We start from the raw sequence: 23,610 nt of genomic DNA, 5'->3' as shown, positions 1-23,610 counted from the left end.
TGATAGCCAAAAATAAGTTAGTCACCAAGTCTATCACTATAGCTCCATTCCCTATTCCAAAACCACTCTGCTTCATAAAATGCATAAAATGGCAGAAGACACACTTCACCAGATTGTAGCAAAAATCGTAAAAAGAACTAGTTTTGGTTTCTGAAAAGTTTAAACTGACTTGCATAAAGCACTGGATGTAACTATTAGAAACATACTAGAATTCATGCCTATAAAAAGTACTATGTGAGGAACCCAGGTTTTGATGCAGTCAAAAGACGGTTGTCATTTGTGTAACTGAAAAATGAAGCAAGACTTTCTCTGACAGAAAGAACTTTCTCTGAAAGTATGATTTGACTGATTGGGTTGACAATGAAGGCTAGTTCTGACAATTAGGTTATATAGAGGGTATTTCTAAAAATAAATGAGCTAAATTTGTAGTGGGAAGGCTTTGATTAGCATATATTAAACACAAATAGTTTGAAGCTTCAAATATGAGCTAAAAATAGAAAATCATGGCACTGAATTTTTTTTTCTTTTTGTGGGACAGAGTCTTGGTCTGTCACCCAGGCTGGAGTGCAGTGGCAGTGGCGTGATCACGACTCACTGCAGCCTCGACTTCCCAAGCTCAAGCGATCTTCCCACAGATGTTCTGAATTATTGACAAAAACTTGCAATTGAGCAGTTTCTTACATGGGTACATAGTATGTCTGTAGGTAGTAATAGCAGATTTTTATTTGCTTTTAACATTGATTTATTTCTCAGCAATACTGAGAAGGTAAACAAATTACAAGAACATGTAAAATGCTAAGCAAAAATGAAGAGCTACACAAGCATTCCTACATACATTTATATATATAAATATATATATATATAGGTATTGATATAGATACAGATAATCTATGTGTATCCTCACTAGATGTGTTCTGCTTCTTCCATTTACACAAAGAGATAGTTTAAATAGTTTCTTAGGAAAATATTATATTTCCACACCTTAAGAAGATGTAACCTCTGACTTCCTTATTCTTTTTACCATAATATGAAAATATCTAAGCAGTTTATCTGGATAATAGAGCAAAGAAAAGATGAGAGTCCTATATTCTTATAGTTCATAACCTAAATGGCCCCTTATTGCCTTCTCTAAGTGTGCAATATTTAATTTCTACTTTCTAGTAATCTCTGTTCTCAGGTCCTGATAACTTCCTGTCTCTATATCCTTGAAGTAGGCCATATTCTGAGAATTCTTATTTTCCATTATTAGCCTTGGCTTTTAACATGCTAAAGGTATCATGTGTAAACACTCCATGAAGTGGTACTTATTTGTACAACCATGAAAATTAGAATAAAGTCAAAAATCCACACTTGAGAAAACAGAGGGGTCCAGAAACTTGAGTGTCACAAAGCCAGAACTACAAGTCAAGCCTGCTGAATCTCAATCTAGGTCACCAAAATTCCACAAATATTACTGTGCACCAAGCACAATGATATGATACAGAGCTGAACAAGACTCAGTCCTATGCTCATGTACTGGTATGTACACGTATGTATATAGAGATACACTATGCCACCATTTATGAAAACAATAACTTGACAAATTTAAAGGTAAAAACAAACAGTTTAGAAATGGAAGAAAAGGCTTCATGGAAGAAACAGTATTAGAACTGAACCTTAAAGAATTGTTAGGACATGCCTCCAGCAAAGACTTGGAACCAACCCAAAGGTCCAACAATGATAGACTGGATTAAGAAAATGTGGTACATATACACCATGGAATACTATGCAGCCATAAAAAAGGATGAGTTCATGTCCTTTGTAGGGACATGGATGAAGCTGGAAACCACCATTCTCAACAAACTATCGCAAGGACAAAAAACCAAACACCGCATGTTCTCACTCATAGGTGGGGACTGAACAATGAGAACACTTGGACACAGGAAGGGGAACATCACACACTGGGGCCTGTAGTAGAGTGGGGGGAGTGGGGAGGGATAGCATTAGGAGATATACCTAATGTAAATGACAAGTTAATGGGTGCAGCACACCAACATGGCACATGTACACATATGTAACAAACCTGCATGTTGTGCACATGTACCCTAGAACTTAAAGTATAATAAAAAAAATTAAAAAAAAAATTGTTAGGACAATGATGGGAATCATGAGGAAGAAAGGCATCAAGATAAGAATACTATGAGCAAAGGTACAGGGGCAGCAAAGTATAGAGAGTATCTTCCATAAATAACAAGTGATAAAGCTAAAAAAAATTGTGGTGGCCAGGCACGGTGGCTCACACCTGTAATCCCAGCACTTTGGGAGGCTGAGGCAGGCAGATCACGAGGTCAGGAGATCAAGACCATCCTGGCCAACATGGTGAAACCCCATCTCTACTAAAAATACAAAAATTAGCTGGGTGTGATGGTGCACGCCTGTAATCCCAGCTACTCGGGAGGCTGAGGCAGGAGAATCCCCTGAACCAGGGAGGCAGAGCTTGCAGTGAGCCGAGATTGCGCCACAGCACTCTAGCCTGGCGACAGAGCGAGACTCCGTCTCAAAAAAAAAAAAAAAAGAAAAAAGAAAAAGAGTGGTATAATATATACAAACTGCTATGGAAAATAACTGGCTGGAAGGGAGGTTGGGGCAGATGACAGAGCTCTTTAACCATAAGATTTATTCTGTAAACAGAGGTAAGACATCAACAATTTTAGAAGAGGGGGCCCTTGATTAAATTACCATCTATACTGTACCTTGTTCATTTTTATAGTCTAGCTCTGTATTGTTTTTATTTGTGTATAGGTTTCTCTCTCTCATATTACTTGGTGAGATCTTTGTATTCCACTTCTCTAGAACACTCTAACACACTCCCAGTAAGTTTCCTTAAATGAACCTACACAAACCAAGCAATCCCATATCAAACAATGATAAGGCATAAATAAAAAGGAAAAAGTGTTGGCTTGATTTTTAATCACAGACCTACACATATATACCATCATTAGATTTTAAATTACTAACGTATATATCTAGTTATATTATACCACTCACATTTCTATTTTTCATGCTTTGTAATAGAAATATCAGTTGCAAACCACAAAGAGGCCATATTAAGCAGTTTCCTATTTATTTATTTATTTTTGAGACAGAGTCTTGCTCTGTCACGCAGGCTGAAGTGCAGTGGCGCAATCTCGGCTCACTGCAACCTCCACCTCCCAGGTTCAAGCGATTCTCCTGCCTCAGCCTCCCAAGTAGCTGGGATTACAGATGTGTGCCACCACACCTGGCTAATTTTTGTATTTTTAGTAGAGATGGGGTTTCACCATGTTGGCCAGGTTGGTCTCAAACTCGTGACCTCAGGTGATCTACCCGCCTCGGCCTCCCAAAGTGCTGGGATTACAGGCATGAGCAACCGTGCCCAGCCATTAAGCAGTTTTTTATGGGACTAACCGTTCTAAAACTTTTGTGGAAAAGGAATAACACTCTGATTTTTAAATTTCTCCCTTCATTTTAGCTTTTATACTCCAATAAAGTCAATGATGAAACATACAACATTTCTTAGAAAAACTACAGTTCAAATATAGCAACAACAAAAATGGTAGGGTTAGATTAAAAGCAGAAATAGCACACTCTGGTGTTTGTACACAGCTCTTCTTATTTGACTTTTTGAGGAGTTTTTGGCTTTAGGGTAAAGGAAAAAATAATACAGTATGTTTGATGTTTAAAAGAAACCAAATACATTTCAACAATGAATTCCTGAATAACTCTGATTGGAAGATGGTATCTCAGAACACTTTAACTCCAATTTACAAATCCAGTTTACAAATAGACTCCTAATTTACAAATTGGTAGTATTTTAAGGTATTTTTAAGTTGGCTGTTTAAAAATCACCGATTTCCCACAAGAAACAATGCAAAAAGCAGTTAGGTTTTACAGTGAATATTTTAATAAGAGCACAGTACTAAACTCTGGTACTAAATTCTGGTAACTGAACAGTAAAAATTAAAAAAAAATACTCAGTGAGTTTCAAATAAGAGCATGGAAAATAAAATCCAGTAAGCAATCCTAGTAACCAAAAACCCTGCTCCCTCTTCATTGGCCAGGAGATAACCTTATCTCTAATACTAGCAGTTACAACCTTTTGGAGGCATTGACAGTTAAGGCATATTTACGAATTGTGCATGTGTGTGTTTATGTGTGTAGTAATGTAATGGCAGAGAGAGGAAATGAGTGGAGATTTTGCTTAAGTCAGGAATTTTTAAAATATACTTAATGGCAGTTTATTGGTAGTTGTACTGAATTAATACCTGATACTGTATCCTCAGATCCTAAGAAAGTGTTGAGGACAAAGCAGATGTTTCAATAAAAACTACCGAATTTTTGCTGAATGATATTCTTACATAATTAGGTTCTTAAGTTCAAAATTCTGTTTACCATTACTATGCTCACTGTGTTCTTTCCAGTATTATAAAACCCTCTGCCAGCCTTTAACTAGGGTTCCTCATCTGAACCAATGAACACAGAAAATGATTTTAGCGACTATTTCTCAATTGCCCCAAGGATAATACATAACTGTAATTTTCTAGATACATAGGTAAGAAGTTAATAATTCCATACAAATTGAGGCTTTATAGTATTAGGGTGTTCTTTCCCAATTGAGAAAGGCTGTTAGACTAATCAGTTTTTATAAATGTTCTTACTATGATGGTTTTATGCATGATTAAAGAATACAATAACTATGCAATAATGTTCCCATATGTTCAATTTTACAATATGGGCACATATACAAGCAGCAAGTTAAAATCTTGGTAAACTGTTTATCTTAGTCCCCAAAAGTAATAGTTCACAAATTATAACCACTTGAAAGGCAAACCACAAAGGAAATTGTTAGGGAACACCCAAAAACAATTTTGAAAAAAGTAAAATCTCCAGAATTTGTCATATGGTAACTTTCTACATATTAAAAAAAAAAATGCTTACTTTTTGCTTAATACAGGCCACAAATTTATTCTATTCAACTCTTTCTATTTAAATATGAAATCAACAAGATTTATCAAAATCAGTACAGGGTCTAAATCCTATATTCATGAACAATGATGATTTCTTATAATTTAGAATTTCAAGTTTATAATTTTGTTTCCATTAGTATACATTCTATTTTATACAGACCATTATTTATCATTTCTAAAGTCTGTACCTCAGTTTGCCTCTAAAAATTTGTTTCCTCTAAAATTAAGCTGCTATTTTAAAATTTTAGACCTAACAAAAAGACTTGTTTTTGGTTAAAAAGCTTTTCTTTGTACTTACAAATGATTTTGTGGTATGTATATATATATGTATATAAAAGTACAAAGCACCACAAGATGGTAACTGGTGAGTTGCAGAAAATTGATTTTTTTAAAAAAATCTAGCAAGGCTTCAGAAATATCACACCAGTAACAAAGTATATTTCTATATCCTGCTTAGTTTTATAATTATCCATCATGCATAGGTAACCCTTTCATTTAAGTGAATAAAAAAAAATCAAGCTACAGATCTATGTAAATTGCCTCGTCTCTAAACTGCAGTGAGATTCAAAGCTACAACTAATTGTTCAGATTTCTGCATTCTAAGTTATGAATTCATCTTCTATCCCAACTCACCTTAGGGAAAAAAGGAGCAGAACTACTCTGAAAGCTCTTATAGGAATCATATTTTCAGAAAATAAAAAATCACACTCTTACATTATATTCATTCTCCTGTTTTTCATTGCAAAACAAAATTCATCACAATACAACTCAGTTTTACCCCAAAATTTATTATCACCCTTTGTCTGTGTAGAAAATGTTGAAAAAAAAAAACCTGTCTTTTTCTAAGAAATAACTTTCACTGTGGAAGTGAAAATGGAACGCTGGGCAAGCTAGAAGGGATAGACATATATTTCCATGGCACGTTTTCAACTGAGCAGCAGTAGACCCAGAGAATTTAAAAGAAGTGCCACTATTTCTCTTGCTATTGATGAACTGCAAATACTGAATATATAAAAATTAATGGTAGGGAAAAATACTTCTTTATACTCTATTTAGTTGATTTTTTAAGAGTTTTCACTATTTCCTAAAATCAGGCAAATTTTTACCAATTTGAAAAACATCTCAGAGTGATCTCCTTGCAAATAGTTCTTTATCAGGTGTACATTTAAATAAATTCAGTTTGTTTTCTTTTTTAAATGAAAAAAATGCTGAACTAGAATTTCTTTATTTTGTACTTTGGAGCTACTTTTTAACTGACTTTCATTAAAAAACTTATGCTTTTTTAAAGTCTAAGTCAAAAATGTTACCATAGAGAAATTAGGCAAGAGATGTAATTTTAAAATTACACTACCCAGAGAGAGCCAATTAACATTCTGGGAAATATATTCTCTATATATATGAATGCTAATTGGGATCTGGTGTGTACAGGCACGCACACACACACACACACACACTCTCTATATATAGTTTCTCCCTCATACATGTAAAGATAAATGCGTAGTTTAGACACAGACCTTTTACAAGAATTTTTCTTATGTGTTGCTCTGTACCTTGTTGTCATTTATTACCATTGAATCTAAGCCTTTGCTGACAACTTAGTCATCCAAAACTTAATATTGACTTAAAATAATGACTATACTATTACCTTTCATCTGAAACCTGTGAATGCTCTCTGATGCTGACCAAGCTTAATAATCTACATATAGTAGAAGTTCAATAATTTTTTTAAAAATGTGCCTAAAAATGATTGTAAAGAAATACTGCTAACAGTGGTTATGTGACCTCTGCGTGTTGTGATCCTAGTTTTTCTTTACTTCATATGCTTTCCACTATTTTCAAAATTTTCTACCATGATCATATTTTATAATCAGAAAACTATTAAAAATTTTCTTACAAAGAATATGTCATATGCATAATACAAACAAAAATATTATGAAAAATAAAATAAAATAATCTCAGAATAAAAGAAAAAATCCAAAAGAAAACCCACAAAAATATTAACATGGGTCTCTTATGGTAATTTTTCCTTATCTTTTTCTATATTTTACCAAGTTTCTTTGTCAACATAATTATTCCCATAATTAAAAAAACTACTTTTAAATATGCAATTTCATTAAATCCTCAGCCTCTTCTCTAAATAGCCACATAGCATGTTCATGCTCTACCTGAAAACTGACCAATGGAGGGCACTGTCTTCCCTAGAGCACTATTAAGAAGCGCCGTTTTCTCTCCTACACTCCAGTACTGTTGGGGCTTGTGGTGAGGCAGATGTCCTTCTTGCTTGTCACTACCACTATTTATCACAGTTCCTACTACTTCTTCCCTACAGCACAGTTTCCTTAAGGCCCGTGCCATTAGATCATTACACCCTCTACCCATCTTGATTACCAGGGTTACAATTCCTGATTGCCCCCCTTCAGTCACTGAAAAATTTGGTAATGGGCTTATTATCTTTCCACCTCTACTCTTTTCATTATTCTTGATTTAAATTATCCATGTGGGCAATCCACCCATCATCAGGTCTCTATATGCTAAGCTTATCTTCTGCCCCTATAATCACACCTTAAGCCTTAAGATCTCAATTCCAAGCATCTCATAATCTGAACAACCCTTTCTATTTCTGGATCAATTCCCCTAATACCTCCATTCTTAATACTTCTTCCCAAACAGGGAAGATAGGCTCAGTGGATTAGATTGACCCTATCTTAGGCCACTAAGTGGATTAGACCACTGAACCTAACACTTTTTTTTAAAGCATGCATCAATTACCTTTATATCTTAATTTCTCACCACTCTAATCCCTGCCTTGCCCCTTTCTCACTGTCAGTACTCACCTGACAAAACCCCAAACCTGTTAAATCTAACTCTCTGTCTATTCCATACCTCTTACCAAGTAGCTGAACAAGACTGAAGAAAAACACAACTATTCTGGTTGTTTGCACTTTAAATTCATGACCACAAACCTCAAAGTGGGCCCTCTGTGCTGCCAGGCAATCACACTGCTCCCCTTTACAGCAAAAGGCTTTGAAAAGGAGTTGACTTAGTTGCTATCTCCATTTCCTCCCCTCCCATTCTCTCTCGAAGCTACTCTGTCTGATCAGGCTTTCATTCTCATCACTCTTCTTAGTCCCAGCAGCATTTAGCAGAGTTGATTAGTCCTTCCTGTTTAACAGGTTTCTTTACAAGGCTTCTAAAACAACATATGGTTGTATCTTTCTTCCCACCTCGCTGGTCATTCCACTTTACTCTTCTTGGTTGCACCTGCCTCCTGACCAACCCCAGGGCTCAGTTCTCAGGCCTCCCCTCCTCTATCAATACTCGGTCTCAGAATAAACTGTCTATTAAATATGGCTTTAAACAACATATATAATCTGATGACACCCAAATTTCTATCTTCCACCCCAACCTGCTCCCTGAACTCTAGAGATGCAGATATATAAACATGTATCTACCACTCTCTGCCCTGCTCATTGCGCTCCAGTTACACTGCCCTTCTTGTCATCCTTGTATCTGGCATGCTCCTGCCTCAGTGTGTTTATACTTGAAGTTCCCTCACCAGGGATATTCTTCCTCTGAACAGTCCCATATTCCTCTCCTCCACCATTTAGTCTCTGCTCCAATATTACCCTATGCAGAAGACTTTCCAAGCCCTTCTAAAATAGCATCTTAGCCTACTCTATGGCATTTGTCACCAACTGACAGTCCATTATCTATTTGCATGTTCGTTTGCTTTATTGACTGTCTCCCTATTAAAATGTAAGCTCCATGAGGGTAGGCTATTTGCCTGGCACAGAGTGGGTACTAAAACATTTGTTGAATTTTAAGATACATGAAACTTTTCTGTTACCTTCAAAGGGTGGGCTTATGAGAACCTTTTAATAGGTAAGTTATACATTTCAGTAATGTTTAAAATTTTCACAATAAGAATGTTAATATAGTTTAGATATGTGTGCCTGCCCAAAACTCATGCTGAATTGTAATCCCCAGTGCTGGAGGTGGGGCCTGGTGGGAGGTGTTTGGATCATGGGGACAGATCCCTCATGGCTTGGTGCTGTCTTCACAATAGTGACTTATTTCCAGATTTAGTCATTGTTTTTTCTCTCTCTCTCTTTCACCACGCTACATGCCTGCTCTGCCTTCACCTTCCACCATGACTGTAAGATTCCTGAGGCCTCCCCAGGAGCTAAGCAGATGCCAGCACTATGCTTTCTGTAAAGCCTACGGAACTGTGAGCCAATAAAACCTCTCTTCTTTATAGACTACCCAGTCTCAGGTATATCTTTATAGCAATGCAAAGTATTACTTTGGTTATCAGAAAAACAAGAGCAAATAATAAAAATATCAAAGCTTAACAATAACAAAAAGAAATCCAATCATATGACCTGAAACTATGTATCTATGTAAGTTACAGAGAAGTTTATAAGTAGGTCAGTAGGACCTAGACAAGGATGACAAATAAGTTTTACCTTGGAAGCCTACTGTAGTTGACTGGTTGTGGTTGCTTGAAGCACTATATTGAAAGGGCCCCTGACGCTAAATCAGTTTTAGCAGGCAGGAGTACCATACTGAGGGATATCTTCCAGGAAAACAGAAGGGGTGGGAATTGTGGCATTCATGCTAGATGAATTCCAATGCCAGATGAATACCAACCACTCCATGACTTTAAATCCAGGTGTGGACTATTTTCAACCCTTTCTGTTCAGTTGATTGCTCCCAAGAATGCCTATTTGTACACTCTTTGTCTATTTGAACTCTCCATATCAATGTCTGAGAGATCTCAAACTTATATCCAAAACAGAATTTTTTATCTACAGTCCTCTTTAAAAATAAAAACATTACCTTTCTCCCAGTCCCCTCTCTTTTAGTAATGACACCTCATTCACTCAGTTGCCCAGATTAAAAACTCTAGAAACTATCCTTAATTCCCCTCTTTCACTCAACCCTGACCCACACATTTATATTCTCAAGCAAATCTTGTTAGCTGTACCCCAAAGCATTTTCTAACTTTTCTGTGTCTCTCCATTTCTAAGGTTAGTACCTAAGACCAAGCCACCATGGCCTCTCACCTGGTCCACTTTAAATAATAGCCTTCTAGCTGGTCTGCCTGTTCTCACTTGTGCCCCCTTATAATCTATTATCCACACAGCAGCCAAAATCATTTTTTAAAACAAATATCCTTATTGTGTCCCATTGCACTTGGAATAAAATCCAAACTCCTAACCCTAGGTAGTCTTCCCCAGCCTATTTCTCCAACTTTATCTCAAACCACTCTCCTCTTACTCCCTATGCTTCAGCCATGCTGGCCTCCTTTCAGTATCAAAGCTGCTTTTACCACAAGGCTTTTCTACCAACTGATACCTAGACTAGAATGTTCTTCCTCTGACAAGCTTTTCTTACGACAATAAGATCTCAGGTTAAAGGCCTCTTCTTCAGAAGTCTTCCAGATCTACTCAATTTAAAGTGGCAACTCAGTCACTATCATATAATCCTATCTTAAATCCACACAATACAAATAACTATTTGGCATTTGAGCCGTCTAATTTATTAATTTGTTTATTGTCTCACTCTCCTATTATAGGATCAAGACAGTGAAGATCTTATCTACGATTAAGTAGGTGAGAGGGCCTGCTTAATAAATATTTGGTGAAGATGATTTGTGCAGTTTTCTTCATGTGTGTTATATTCAGTAAAACAAGTTTTCTTTGTGTGTCTGTGTATGTTTACTTATTTATACTAGAGGAATAAATGAATGAGAACAGAACTAAGTAAGAATTCCCAATTTGGAATTAAAGTAATTCTCTGAGGTTGAAAAAAAAAACCCACAAATTTATTTTGATTCAAATTCAAAGTGTACCAATTTTTTTTTTCTTTTTTTTTTTTGGCCAGGGAGATTTAGGTGCTGACTTTAAAACAATGAAAAAACAATTTGCCCTAATGGAGCTTGAGGGCAATAACAAATAGGCTATGGTAAGTAAATGCCATGAAAAGGGTACTACAGTAGAAGGTGCTATACATGCAATCAACCCAGCCTGGGAGGTAGAGAATCAGGAAATGCTTCCCAAAGAAATGCCATTTAAACTGAATCTGATCTGAAGGATGAGTAATTGTGATACATACACATATGCTGGTGGGAAGGGGTGGGGGGTGTGGCAAGAAAGACATGAAGTATAAGAGTATTTTGAATAGAGGAAATATGAGCAAAGCCCAGAATCCAGAGAGCTGATAACATACTCAGGGAACTAAAACTAACTTACTGTGGCTGAAGAGCAAAGTATGAATTGAGAAGTACTGAGAGAGACCAAAGAGGTCAACAAGGTTAATATATCATGAAGCCTGCTAAGGAGTTCAGACCCTATCCTAAGGGTAAGAGTCATTAAAATATTTAAATACTTTTATATGTAATATAATCCTTATTAACAAAAGATAATTTTAGCCAATGTGATGTGTTTAGAGGGAGACAGAAAGGTCAACCTGGAGATTGTTACAGTTTTCCAGGTAAGACATAATTATAGCCAGAATTAGAATAGTAAGAGTGGAGACAAAAGTGAATATTAAGATCCTAGTCTAAGAAGAATTAGAAGCAGTTAAGTGAACACTAAAAGCACAAATAAACAGGTATAGTTGTAACAGTGAATAAATTACCAAAAGTCAGATTTCACAGAATATGGGACATCTAAGCTGAAATTTCAACAAGGTACAGTAAGATTTCCAAAGAAGAAGAAAAGGCATTTCAAACTTTACGAAATCCTTTTATTTTCCTTTTTATATAGAGACAGGATCTCACTCTGTCACCCAGGCTGGAATGCAGTGGCACCATCATAGCTATCTGCAGCCTCAAACTCCTGGGTTCAAGAGATCCTCCGGCCTCAGCATCCCAAGTAGCTGCAACTATAGGTACACAACCACCATGCCCAGCTAATTTTTAAATTTTTTGTAGAAACATGGTTTCACCATGTTGCCCAGGCTGGTCTTATACTCCTGGCCTCAAACAATCCTCCTGTCTCAGCCTCCCAAAATGCTGGAATTATAGTTGTAAAGCACTGTGCTGAGCTTATAACAGACTTTTATATAGCAGAGTTATTTCCCTGTTCAAATAATTTGAAAAAATTAAAAAATAATCTGTATGTTTAAAATGTATATCCTATTTTTTTAGGCAGAAACTTTAAAAAAAAATCTCCATTTATGACTCATCTTACATTATGATTTCATCATACTTTATTAAATCTATTCTAGGCTGGGCGCGGTGGCTCACGCCTGTAATCCCAGCACTTTGGGAGGCCGAGGCGGGCGGATCACGAGGTCAGGAGATCGAGACCATCCTGGCTAACACGGTGAAACCCCGTCTCTACTAAAAATACAAAAAATTAGCCGGGCGAGGTGGCGGGCGCCTGTAGTCCCAGCTACTCGGGAGGCTGAGGCAGGAGAATGGCGTGAACCCCAGGGGGCGGAGCCTGCAGTGAGCCGAGATTGCGCCACTGCACTCCAGCCTGGGCGACAGCGAGACTCCGTCTCAAAAAAAAAAAAAAAAAAAAAAAAAAAAAAATCTATTCTAACAAACTACAAGCTATAAAAATCTTGAGTCTGGCCTCTAGCAGATCTTAGTTATCATTACAAAAAAGTTCCTGACAGTAAAATCACAATGAAAAAATAAAAACAGTCCAGTCAAGACATATACAGTGTATATGTAAATTTTTAAATAACTTTAAAATGGAACATAATGTCTTATCATTATGATAAAAATTAGACCAATAATAAAATGTATCTCAGGATGAGTTAAACTTAAAAGATAACAACTGTACAATCTAATTCAGCAAATATTTATTGAGAATTTATACACCTACACACATTTATCTTTCCATATACATTGTCCCTGTAGTAGGAAATAGAAAGATAAAGAGCTACGAGGCAGATGCTTCCTCAAGAATTTTGTAAGCCAGATGGGAAGACGGACATAATTCATTTCAGGTAGCATTTTTACAAGACTTCTACAATGATAATGTGACTTTATGAATAAAAATGGTTCTAGCAGAGGAGTCTTTGATATTCCTTTGCATTTAATAATGTAAGATGCAGATGTCAAAGGATTAATACACTAACTATAGTGAATATATTTTATATTTCCATTATTTTACTCTATAGATGTAATGTTGCATTCAAGAAAATTACTATTGATTTGAATTATGACCAAAAATTTAACTGCCAAATATCAAAAAGAAACATCAAACTCTAGGTAACAAATACATGGCAAACACAGAAAACATATAAAAATGAAAAGGGTATCTGGCCGGGTGCGGTGGCTCATGCCTGTAATCCCAGCGCTTTCAGAGGCTGAGGCAGGTGGATCACCTGAGGTCAAGAGTTTGAGACCAGCCTGGCCAACATGGTAAAACCCCATCTCTATTAAAAATACAAAAATTAGCTGGGCACTAACGTACAGCTGGTTGCAGTTGTCTGTAATCCCAGCTACTTGAGAGGCTGACGCAGGAGAATTGCTTCAACCCAGGAGGCAGAGATGGCTATGAGCCGAGACAGTGCCACAGCACTCCAGCCTGGGTGACAGAGCGAGACTCTGTCTCAAAAAAAAAAAAAAAAAAAAAGCAAGCAAAGGAAAACCAACATAATTATTTGTATTTTAGACCTATAATTTAAGTAACATATTTCTCTCTCAGTCTCACTTTAATACTTGAAAGTAACAATAACACTTACCTTACAACTATAAGAATGGCTATAAGAATTGAACAGATAGGATCTGCTATCATCAGACCAAAATTTTGCATCATGATGGCAGAAGCAATTACACCAATACTTCCAAGTGTATCTGCTAGGATATGTAAAAATACACCTAGAAATAAACCATAATAAAAATCAAAACAGTCTTTTGGTTAATTTAAAATACGAATATATCCTAGAGCTATACTCTTAATTTTATATATAAAAAACTAGATATCAACTTCAAAAATAAGTAAGCATGTATATTCACCATTTAGTAACCATGTAATAGTACATTTATGAATTAAAATCACTTTTTCTGTTTCAAATCAACAGGGGTTGAAATATCTGACTGGTAATTTATACCTTTTCTTAATGATATAAATGAAGTAGAGAAGCAAGTTGATTTTAAAAATTGTTTGTGAACATTCACCTCTGGCTAACAGGAGTCCAAAAGTCAGTAATTTGTTATGGGATGGAAATTGCATTAGGCTAAAAGAACTGGTCAAGAAAACATTTTTAACTATAGATATACGTACATACAGAGCCCTCTGCTGGTGATTACAATTATTACCATTTGGGACTACAATTTCCCATAAACCATAATTTCACTTATCCTGTTACACTTATTAATTATCCTAAAAGCTCTATCTAAACTGGTTACATACTACACTCAGAGGTGACGTGAAAGCAGGCACTGATTTGAATATTTTTAAATAAATATAAAATACATGTTGAACTTTTAATAATTAAATATTAAATTGGTAGGATACTGATGTTATACTGATATTCTAAAAACTTAGACATAATAACATTTAGTAAGTCAAAGTTGCCCAGAAAACCATTTAAAATGTCAAGAAGTAAGATTTATGTACAATACTTTCTGAAAAAACTCAACTGAGACAAATTATTCAACGTTTAGATCTTTAATACAAAATTTCTATACCACAAACATTCTTTTAAACTTCAATCATGTCTTGCTAAAAATAGAACATTATTCAATACCATCATCTGCCCTATCTGAAAAGAAATAGTTAATGCATAAAAAGCATGTATGTAGTTGAGAAATACTTGATTTTTCTTTTTTAGTATTCACTGCACAATAAAGGGTGAACTGTAATTATTTTTAGGTATATAAATACAAACAAACTCAAGAAATGTTCTAATAACTTAAAAATTGACTGCTAATGAGTCAAATCAAATCTTGTGTTCTGGAAAATTATACTTCATTTTATCTGCCACTGATGGAAATTTATATCAAATATTATATTAAATATAAATCATCCCTCACTACCTACATATAACTTTTCGTTTATATACAGTTTAACTCTATTATTATAACTGTTCTTCAAAAAGAACAGTCCTTTAAGAACAACTTTCTTAAAAATATTTCCAAAAGAAATAAATTTTGTCAGACATACTTATAGAATAAATATTCGGTTCCTATCACGTATTTCAAATAGCAGTGAATTAAATAGGTTAATAATGTTGGGGCCACTTTAACTTTTAAAACTACAACTGGAAAAAAAATACACATCAAAGCAGATTGAAGGTCCCTAACTACAAACTCTTATATATGATACATGCTTTTAAGCCTTTATATTCTTTAATCAGTGTTTTGGTAGAATAAAAAATGAAAATAACTCTAAACATGAAAAGAAAAAGAAAATAATGATTTGTAAGAAAATAATGATTTGTTCTTGATTTTCCTTAGACTGGAAAGTCCCTGGCTACCATTTATTTGCTAACCTGAAAACTGGTTTTATTAGTAAGTGTCATTAAAACTACCTAAAGCCTTCTTACTACATAAACTGTTTAAGAAAAAAATCACTAAGAAAGAAACATAAACTAGGATGTTTAACTTATACAAAGTTAAAAGCCTTAGAAGATGTGGTAGGATACTGATAACCTAACCCCCCAAAACCTTAGTAAGCCAGGAGTCAAGATGTAGCATATAATTGAAAAACATAATTAATTCAAGTTTTTCATGTATGAGTATCTATCTACCTGGTCATTTTACAAGAAGTTTTTAATGCCAGGTAGTTTTCTCTGTTCTTCAGCTATTTACTGGGCTCTTCAGCCACCATAAATTGATAAATATTCAGAAAATATAAATTTATTTTCACAATAACTTATATAAAAGAGAATTAGAAAGGCAAATCTAACTTCCTTTCCTCCAACTTGTGATGACTTTCAAAATTAAATTCTTATTATCAAGGCTAATTTATAGTACTTGATATAGATGCATCATATATGCATGATTATATGTTATTTCAGCAAATGTTATTCTAAAACAATTCCATATCTTTTGTAAATGGAAAACCTGTGATTGGAAGACACATTTAAGCCTTCTGAAAATAAATTTCTCAGTATGAAGGAATATATTCACAGTGAAAAAATAAAAAACGAGAGTTATATAAAGAAATAGTGAAGACAAATAGGTGCAGTTGAGATTGGATCAGAAGCCATTCAGAAAGTCAGACTGAAGTCAAAAGTTAATAAAGGCAAGTAGATAGCTGGGAATTAGGAAACCCTGACAATAAAGTCTAAATGGAAACTCAGAGCCAGAGATTGATTAATAACCTACCGCCCCACCCACAAAAACAAAACAAAACAAAAAAAAATTACTATAATTCATAGACAGGATTTTCTCTGGCATGTAAAACTTTGTAATATACAATTTTACACATGTATTAGCTATTGATGGCCTACAAATATTATGGAGTTCTCACTTTGCATTAAATCTTTAGCTCTAAATTTTCCCACAACATAAAAACATATTAAATATTATTCTTGGAAAAACTACATAATAATCCTGTAAAAGCAAACATACTCCTACAGACAGTCCTCGACTTAAAATGATCAACTTATGACTTTGGCTTCATGATGGTGTGAAAGCAGTATGCATTCAGTAGAAACTATACTTCAAATTTTGAATTTTGATCTTTTCCTGGGCTGGCAATAATGTGCTATGATCATCTCTCATGATGCTGGGCAGCAACAGCAGGCGGCAGCTCCCAGTCAGCCAAGCAATCACAAGGGTAAACAACTGATACTGTACTCTACAGTGGACTGTATTAAATAAATTACATGAGATATTCAACACTTTATTATAAAATAGGCTTTGTGTTAGATGATTTTGCCCAACTGTAGGCTAATGCAAGTGTTCTGAGCACATTTAAGGTAGGCAAGGCAAAACTATGATGTTCGGTAGGTTAGGTGTATTAAATGCATTTTCAACCTACAGTATCTTCAATTTACCACGGGTTTATTAGGACACAACCCCACAGTAAATCAAGAAGCATCTATACAATGTTTATAGTCACAGGCATGGGTATTACTTATATTCAAGCAGAATAGTTTCCGAATCTTTTTGAGATACGAGTCTCATATGTTCCCCAGGGTGGTCTCAAACTCTTGGGCGCAAGCAAGCAATTCTCCTGAGTAGCTGGGATTGTGGGGACATGCCAAGTGCACCCAGCTCTATATTTTGCTTTTATTATCAAATCAGAGAAAACAGTCAAGTGACAATTAAAAGAATGTCTGCTAATATATCTAATAGTATATAAAAAACAATCACTAGAAAGGCTAACACTAAACACAAACACTATGTTTTATATTTTTCTTAAAGGAAAACTTCAGACAACTAAAACTTCAAAACTATAAAAGCAGTTTCAAAAAACTAAGAAACATAAAAATTGCTTGTCATACCTTGTAAAATCTGTCTGCTGGGTCCTGTTGTTTCTTTTAAGGACGGGCCATCTGTAGAGAATTAAGTTATTTTAAAACATGTTTTCAATTCCTCATTCAAGTTTTTACAATTCAGAGTCCTTTTCATTCAAATGCATCATCAAGAATGCATGGCTATATAGCCATATCAAACTTACAAATTTATTTTTTAAATTTAATAAAATAATTGAGTGGAGGTAAATTTAGTGGCAGTAGTTTTAAAATTCATCAAAAGTATGGAGTATTTCAGAAATTATTGTATTAAAAAGATTAAAAGCACAGGAAATTAAAGACATTGTGAAAATCTTCCAGTATTCATAAAATATCTTTTAATACTCTTACAATTGGAAAATTCAGAGAAACCCAAATGTACTGCTTGAAGTTATGAGGTCCAAGAAATGAAGCCAGGATAGAAAGATAACTTGACTATGGTAAACAGTAGTTTTCAACAGCTTCTAGATTAATGTGGCAAACTCTTGATACAGAAGAGATAAAAATAATTTTTTTCATTTTGCTTTTATGATGACAAAATGCTATAATTTCTATCTCTAAACATCTTGAAAATTACTATTCAGCTTTAACATTAAAACAGAAAATATAGGAAAACAAGGCAAAAGATGAGCAATATTTGTTTAAACAGATCATCAGGAAGACTGACAAGCTTTCTGATCACAACTAACAATGTACCTACTATCATCATTTGTTCATGGCCCACAGCACCAAAAAGGTCAAGGTACCCTTATCAGTACAGCTTTGATAGAGCATTATAACAATGTTCTGCAATAATGTAACAAAGAAATATAAAAGCATAACACCATATAATATTTCCTATCTAGATATTGTACTGCTGTATGGGAATGAAGAAGTAGCTACCCTGAAAAATCCAGCTGATAGCCAAAAGTGTAAGAGATATGCAGTTTTTCAACATTATTTTGGGATGCATGTGAGCAAAAAAGTTGGAAAAGCAAGGTTTTAAAGCATACCAGTGTAACTGTTATAAAAATACAGGATATTTTAGAGACTGACACAGGCAACAGGCAAAAATAGACAAGAAGGATTACATCAAATTAAAAAGCTTCTGCAAGGCAAAGGAACCAAATAACAAAATGAAAAGGCAACTTACAGAATGACAGAAAATATTTGCAAACTATGTATCTGATAAAATATATACAGAACTCACAATCAACAGCAAAGGTAAATAAATAACCTGATTTTAAAATGGTCAAAGAGTTACAGAACGACAAACATTGCATGTTCTCACTTATTTGTGGAGTACAAAAATTCAAAACAATTAAACTCATGGAAGCAGAGAGTAGAAGGATGGTTACCAGAGGCTGGGAAGGGTAGTGTGGTGCTGCAGGAGTGAGGATGGTTAATGGGTACAAAAAAAAAAAAAAAAAAAAAAGAATGAATGAATAAGATTTACTATTTGATAGCACAACAGGGTGACTACAGTCAATATTAATTGTACCTTTCAAAATAACTAAAAGAGTGTAACTGGATTGTTTGTAATACAAAGGATAAATGCCTGAGGAGAAGGATACCTCATCTCCATGATGTGATTATTTCACACTGCATGCCTGTATCAAAACATCTCATGTACCCCATAACAATATACACCTACTGGTTGGGCACAGTGGCTCACACCTGTAATCTCAGCAGTTCGGGAGGCCAAGGCAGGTGGATCACGATGTCAGGAGATTGAGACCATCCTGGCTAACACGGTGAAACCTCGTCTCTACTAAAAATACAAAAAGTTAGCTGGGTGTGGTGGCACACGCCTGTAATCCAGCTACTCGGGAGGCTGAGGCAGGAGATTCACTTGAACCCGGGAGGCAGAGGTTGCAGTGAGCCGATATCGCACCACTGAACTCCAGCCTGGGTGACAGAGCGAGACTCCATCTCAAAAATAAATAAATAAATAAATAATAAGAATATACAGCTACTATGTACCCACAAAAATTAAAAATAAAAAAATTTATTAAAAAAATAAAAAAGTAATAAATGGCCGAAGGAATAAAATAGACATTTCTCCAAAGAAGACATACAAATAGCCAACAGGTACATTAAAAGATGCTCAACATCACTAATCATCAGGGAAATGCAAATCAGAATCACAATAAGATATCATATCATACCTGTTAGGATGTCTATTACCAAAAAAGCAAAAGACAGTAAGTGTTGGGAAAGCTGTAGAGAAAAGGAAACCCTTGTATACTACTGGTGGCAATGTAAACTGGTGCAGACACTATGGAAAACAGTATGGAGGGTCCTCAAAAAAACAATAATGGAACTACCGTATGATCAGCAAACTGGGTATATATCCATGAGAATTGAAATCAAGAGCTCAAAGAGATATCTGCACTTCCGTATTCACTACAGCATTATTCACAATAGCCAAGACATGGAAGCAAGCTAAATGTCCATCAACAGATGAATGGATAAAGCAATGTGGTATATACATACAACGGAATATCATTCAGCCTTAAAGAAAGAAAGAAATCCTTCTAATTTTGACACATGAATGATCCTGAAGGACATTATGCTAAGTGAAATAAGCCAGACACAGAAGGACAAATACTACATTTATATCACTTATATAAGGAATCTAAAATAGTCAAACTCATAGCAACAGAGAATAGAATAGTGGTTGCCAGTGGTTGGAGGAAGTTGGAAAAGGGGAAATATTAGTCAAAGGGTACAAAGTTTCAGTTGTGCAAAATAAATAGGTCCTAGGGATTTGTATGGCATAGTGCCCATAGCTAATACTGTATTGTATACTTAAAAATCTGCCAAGAGTGTAGATCTTATGTTAAGTGCTCTTACTGCAAAAGTAGAAAGAAAGAAAGAAAGGAAGAAAGAAAGAAAGAAAGAAAGAAAGAAAGAAAGAAAGAAAGAAAGAAAGAAAGAAAGAAAAGAAAGAAAAGAAAAGAAAAAAGAAAAGAAGTGAGGAAGGGAGGGAGGGAAAGAAAGAAGAAAAGAAAAGAAAAAAGAAAAGAAAGAATTGAGAGTAGGAGGAAACTTTCAGTGGGAACGGATATGTTTATTGGAGAAATCATAGTGATGGTTTCATGGGTGCATACTTACCTCAAACTCATCAAGTTGTATACATTAAATATTTATCTGTTTTCATATGTCAATCATATCTCAATAGAGTAGTTAGAAATTTTTTTTTTTTTAGACAGAGTCTAGCTCTATTGTCCAGGCTGGAGTGCAGTAGCGTGATCTCAGCTAACTGCAACCTCCGCCTCCTGGGTTCAAGCTATTTTCTTGCCTCATGGAAAAATTTCAAAGACTGAAAAATGAAGGGCTTAGAAGGCTCACTCTTCAAGGTCCCTTTCATATTTTCAATTCTAAAGCTTTAGGATTCTGTCTATGTTGCAAATACAAGATAATACTTAAGCATACACTCTACTGAGAGTAATCAAATTGTGTCACCCAAGCAGCTTCTATTAAGCTATACTTTATAAACTATGTAAAATATAATTCAAAATAAAATATTAAGTTGATAAACACCTCATAACTTAGTACCCAATGCTACATAAGTTAGCATCCAAAGATTTCTAAAAAAAACATAGAGGTAAACATCAGGTGACAGACATCAAAAATTATAATACAAATGTGAAAAATTGAAAACCTCCACCATATTTTTATAAGCCAATATAGCACAAAAGGCCTCGTGATGCTTAAAAAATTATGATTTTCATTTCCTAAAATGCAATTGTTCCTCATTCACTAGTACTCATTTAAAATAGTGGCATTTGAGGGGAGGGAAAGGGGGACGGTTAATGAGTACAAAAAAATAGTTGAATGAATAAGACCTAGTATTTGCTAGCACAACAGAGTGACTATTGTCAATTTGTAATTTCATTGTACATTTTAAAATAACCAAGAGTATAATTGGATTGTTTATAACACAGGATAAATGCTTGAGGGAATGGAAACCCCATTTACCCTTACGTGATTACTATGTATTACATGCCTATACCAAAATGTCTCATGTAACCCATAAATATATACACCTACTATGTACCCACAAAAATTAAAAATTAAAAATAAATACATAAAAAAGTGGCATTTTATTATGATATACCCTCTGGAAAAAAGCGAACATCCACTGCCTTATACTGAGTTAATTTCATGCTATACAAAAAATAAACTAGCCCTGGGAACCATTTAGACTGATTCATTAGAAAAGAAGTTGATTTGGTATCTTTTTAATAAACTATTTCAACTAGGAAAAGTAATCCACAAAACTCTTGTTTATTTGGAGGCTGTCCATTTGTCTCTAGGCTGTACTCACCATGAGAATGAAAGTGTCCATGTCCATGAGCATGATCATGGCTATGTGCAGCACCATGTTTCACTTCATGGCTATGGCAATGATCGACATGGCCATGTGCCTGATCTAGAGCACCATTAAAGAGGGAATGACTGTGTCCGTGGCCTAGAAAACAAAGTGTTAGGACAGAAGGTATGTAAAAATATATTATATAAATGGTTACAATTATACTGACACTAGCGCAAAGAATCAGCTCTAAACTCAGATCAATTCAATAAACATTTACTTGTAAAAAGTGTTACACATTTGTTAAAACAATCCTGAGTTTCTGCTATGGAGTACCAGAAGGTAATGAAAGCATAGAGGAAAGTGATAGACCTTACTGGAAATGAAAATAAGTACTGACTGGAAGTATACAGATATCTCCAAAGAGGTCAGATAATGATATTCATTCATTTGAGAAATATTTATTGGTAACATTTTCTATTATAGGAATCATTCTAGGCACGGGAGATGAGGCAGTAAACAACAAAGACAAAATTCATGCCCAAAATTTTTCAAAGTACTATTACACACACTAACAAAGATTAACAAGACATATGCAAATGCTCACATTAAGGCAGACACAAGAAAGCTGCTGCATTTGGTAACAGAATCAGTAAAATTACATTAAAGCAGGTAGAAAAAGCTAAATGCAAAAGAATGCAGAATCCTTTCTCCACAGCATACCTAAAAATGACTAAACCACCGAGCAACATCTTATACAGGCTATTCTAAAGGACAGAAAAAGAGTGGATGCTATCCAAGTCAAAAATATCACTTTTACAAAAATTCTAAATACCAGTAAATTAAATCCAGCACTGCACTATATGAAAAAATCATGACTATGAGGATCTCCAAGACATATTTACATAGTACATTTCATAAACACACACACTTTTTTTTTTTTTTAGACAGAGTCTTGCTCTGTCACCCAGGTTGGAGTGCAGTGGCATGATCTCGGCTCGCTGCAACCTCCACCTCCCGGGCTCAAGCGACTCTCCCATCTCAACCTCCTGAGTGGCTAAGACTACAGGAATGCGCCATCATGCCTGTTTTTTTTGTTTTTTTTTTGAGATGGAGTCTCACTCTGTCACCCAGCATACCTGGCTAATTTTGTATTTTTTTGTAGAGATGGGGTTTCGCCATATCGCCCAGGCTGGTGTCAACCTCCTGGATTCAAGTGATCCATCTGCCTTGGCCTCCCAGAGTGCTGGAATTATAGGTGTAAGCCACTGTGCCCAGCCCACACAAAACTTTCTGATAAGTAGATTTGTTTTGTGGTTTTCTGATATTTGTCTATTTTATATAAATGATATCACACTAAACAGATAAGCTACTGAGGTCTGGTGGGATCCATGATACAAGCACAGCTCTGAGAAGGCACTGAGATGGAGGGGCATAAAGAAGTGAAAGGGATAGTTCAGGAAGATATTCACATAGTCTGTTGACATCAGAAATCAGTATAGTTTAACTTAATTCTCTCAAGTAAATAATTATGACAGAAACCTAGTAGAAAATGAAGAAACAAAGTGTCCTAACCATCATACCAGAGCCATGAGAATGTCCATGACCTCCATGTTTGAAAACAAATATTCCTATTAGGTTTACCACAAACCCAAGAATGGAAACAAGAAGCAGTCTCTCATGGTGGACATCTGGAGGGGCTAATGCTCTCTAGAAAACACATAATACAAACAAATAGCATAGATATTATTTCTGATTGATCAACTAACAAAATCATAAGACAACATTAAACACTTTCAGTTATTTTTGGAATTAAAAACACTAAAAAAAATCTCCCAAAACAGTTGATAGAAATAAAACCAGAGCTCACATACTGTAGAAAAAGTAACAATTACTATT

At 35.0% G+C, this 23,610-nt stretch overlaps 1 protein-coding gene across 5 annotated transcripts in view; it reads right to left on the bottom strand.

Moving 5' to 3' along the window:
* Window positions 1-23,610, bottom strand: part of SLC30A7 (solute carrier family 30 member 7) — a 99,989-nt gene that overhangs the window by 60,546 nt on the left and 15,833 nt on the right. For 4 of the 5 annotated variants that reach the window (XR_246237.4, XM_017000400.3, NM_133496.5 and 1 more), the window contains exons 5-8: window positions 23,295-23,421; window positions 21,727-21,870; window positions 17,406-17,456; window positions 13,692-13,827 (exon numbers count right to left, since the gene is read on the bottom strand). Coding sequence is in view for 4 of the 5 variants with exons in the window: in XM_017000400.3 (XP_016855889.1) it covers window positions 13,692-13,827; window positions 17,406-17,456; window positions 21,727-21,870; window positions 23,295-23,421 (458 nt within the window). In the remaining variant the exon portion in view is untranslated. Of the gene's footprint in view, window positions 1-3,415; window positions 3,459-13,691; window positions 13,828-17,405; window positions 17,457-21,726; window positions 21,871-23,294; window positions 23,422-23,610 lie in introns of those variants that run through there. The other variant, XM_017000401.3, reaches the window with a different exon arrangement.

This window comes from Homo sapiens, chromosome 1 (assembly GCF_000001405.40).
Source record: "Homo sapiens chromosome 1, GRCh38.p14 Primary Assembly".
NCBI lineage: Eukaryota > Metazoa > Chordata > Mammalia > Primates > Hominidae > Homo > Homo sapiens.
The sequence above is the reverse complement of the archived record's forward strand: the minus strand, read 5'-3'. Positions and strand labels throughout refer to the sequence as shown.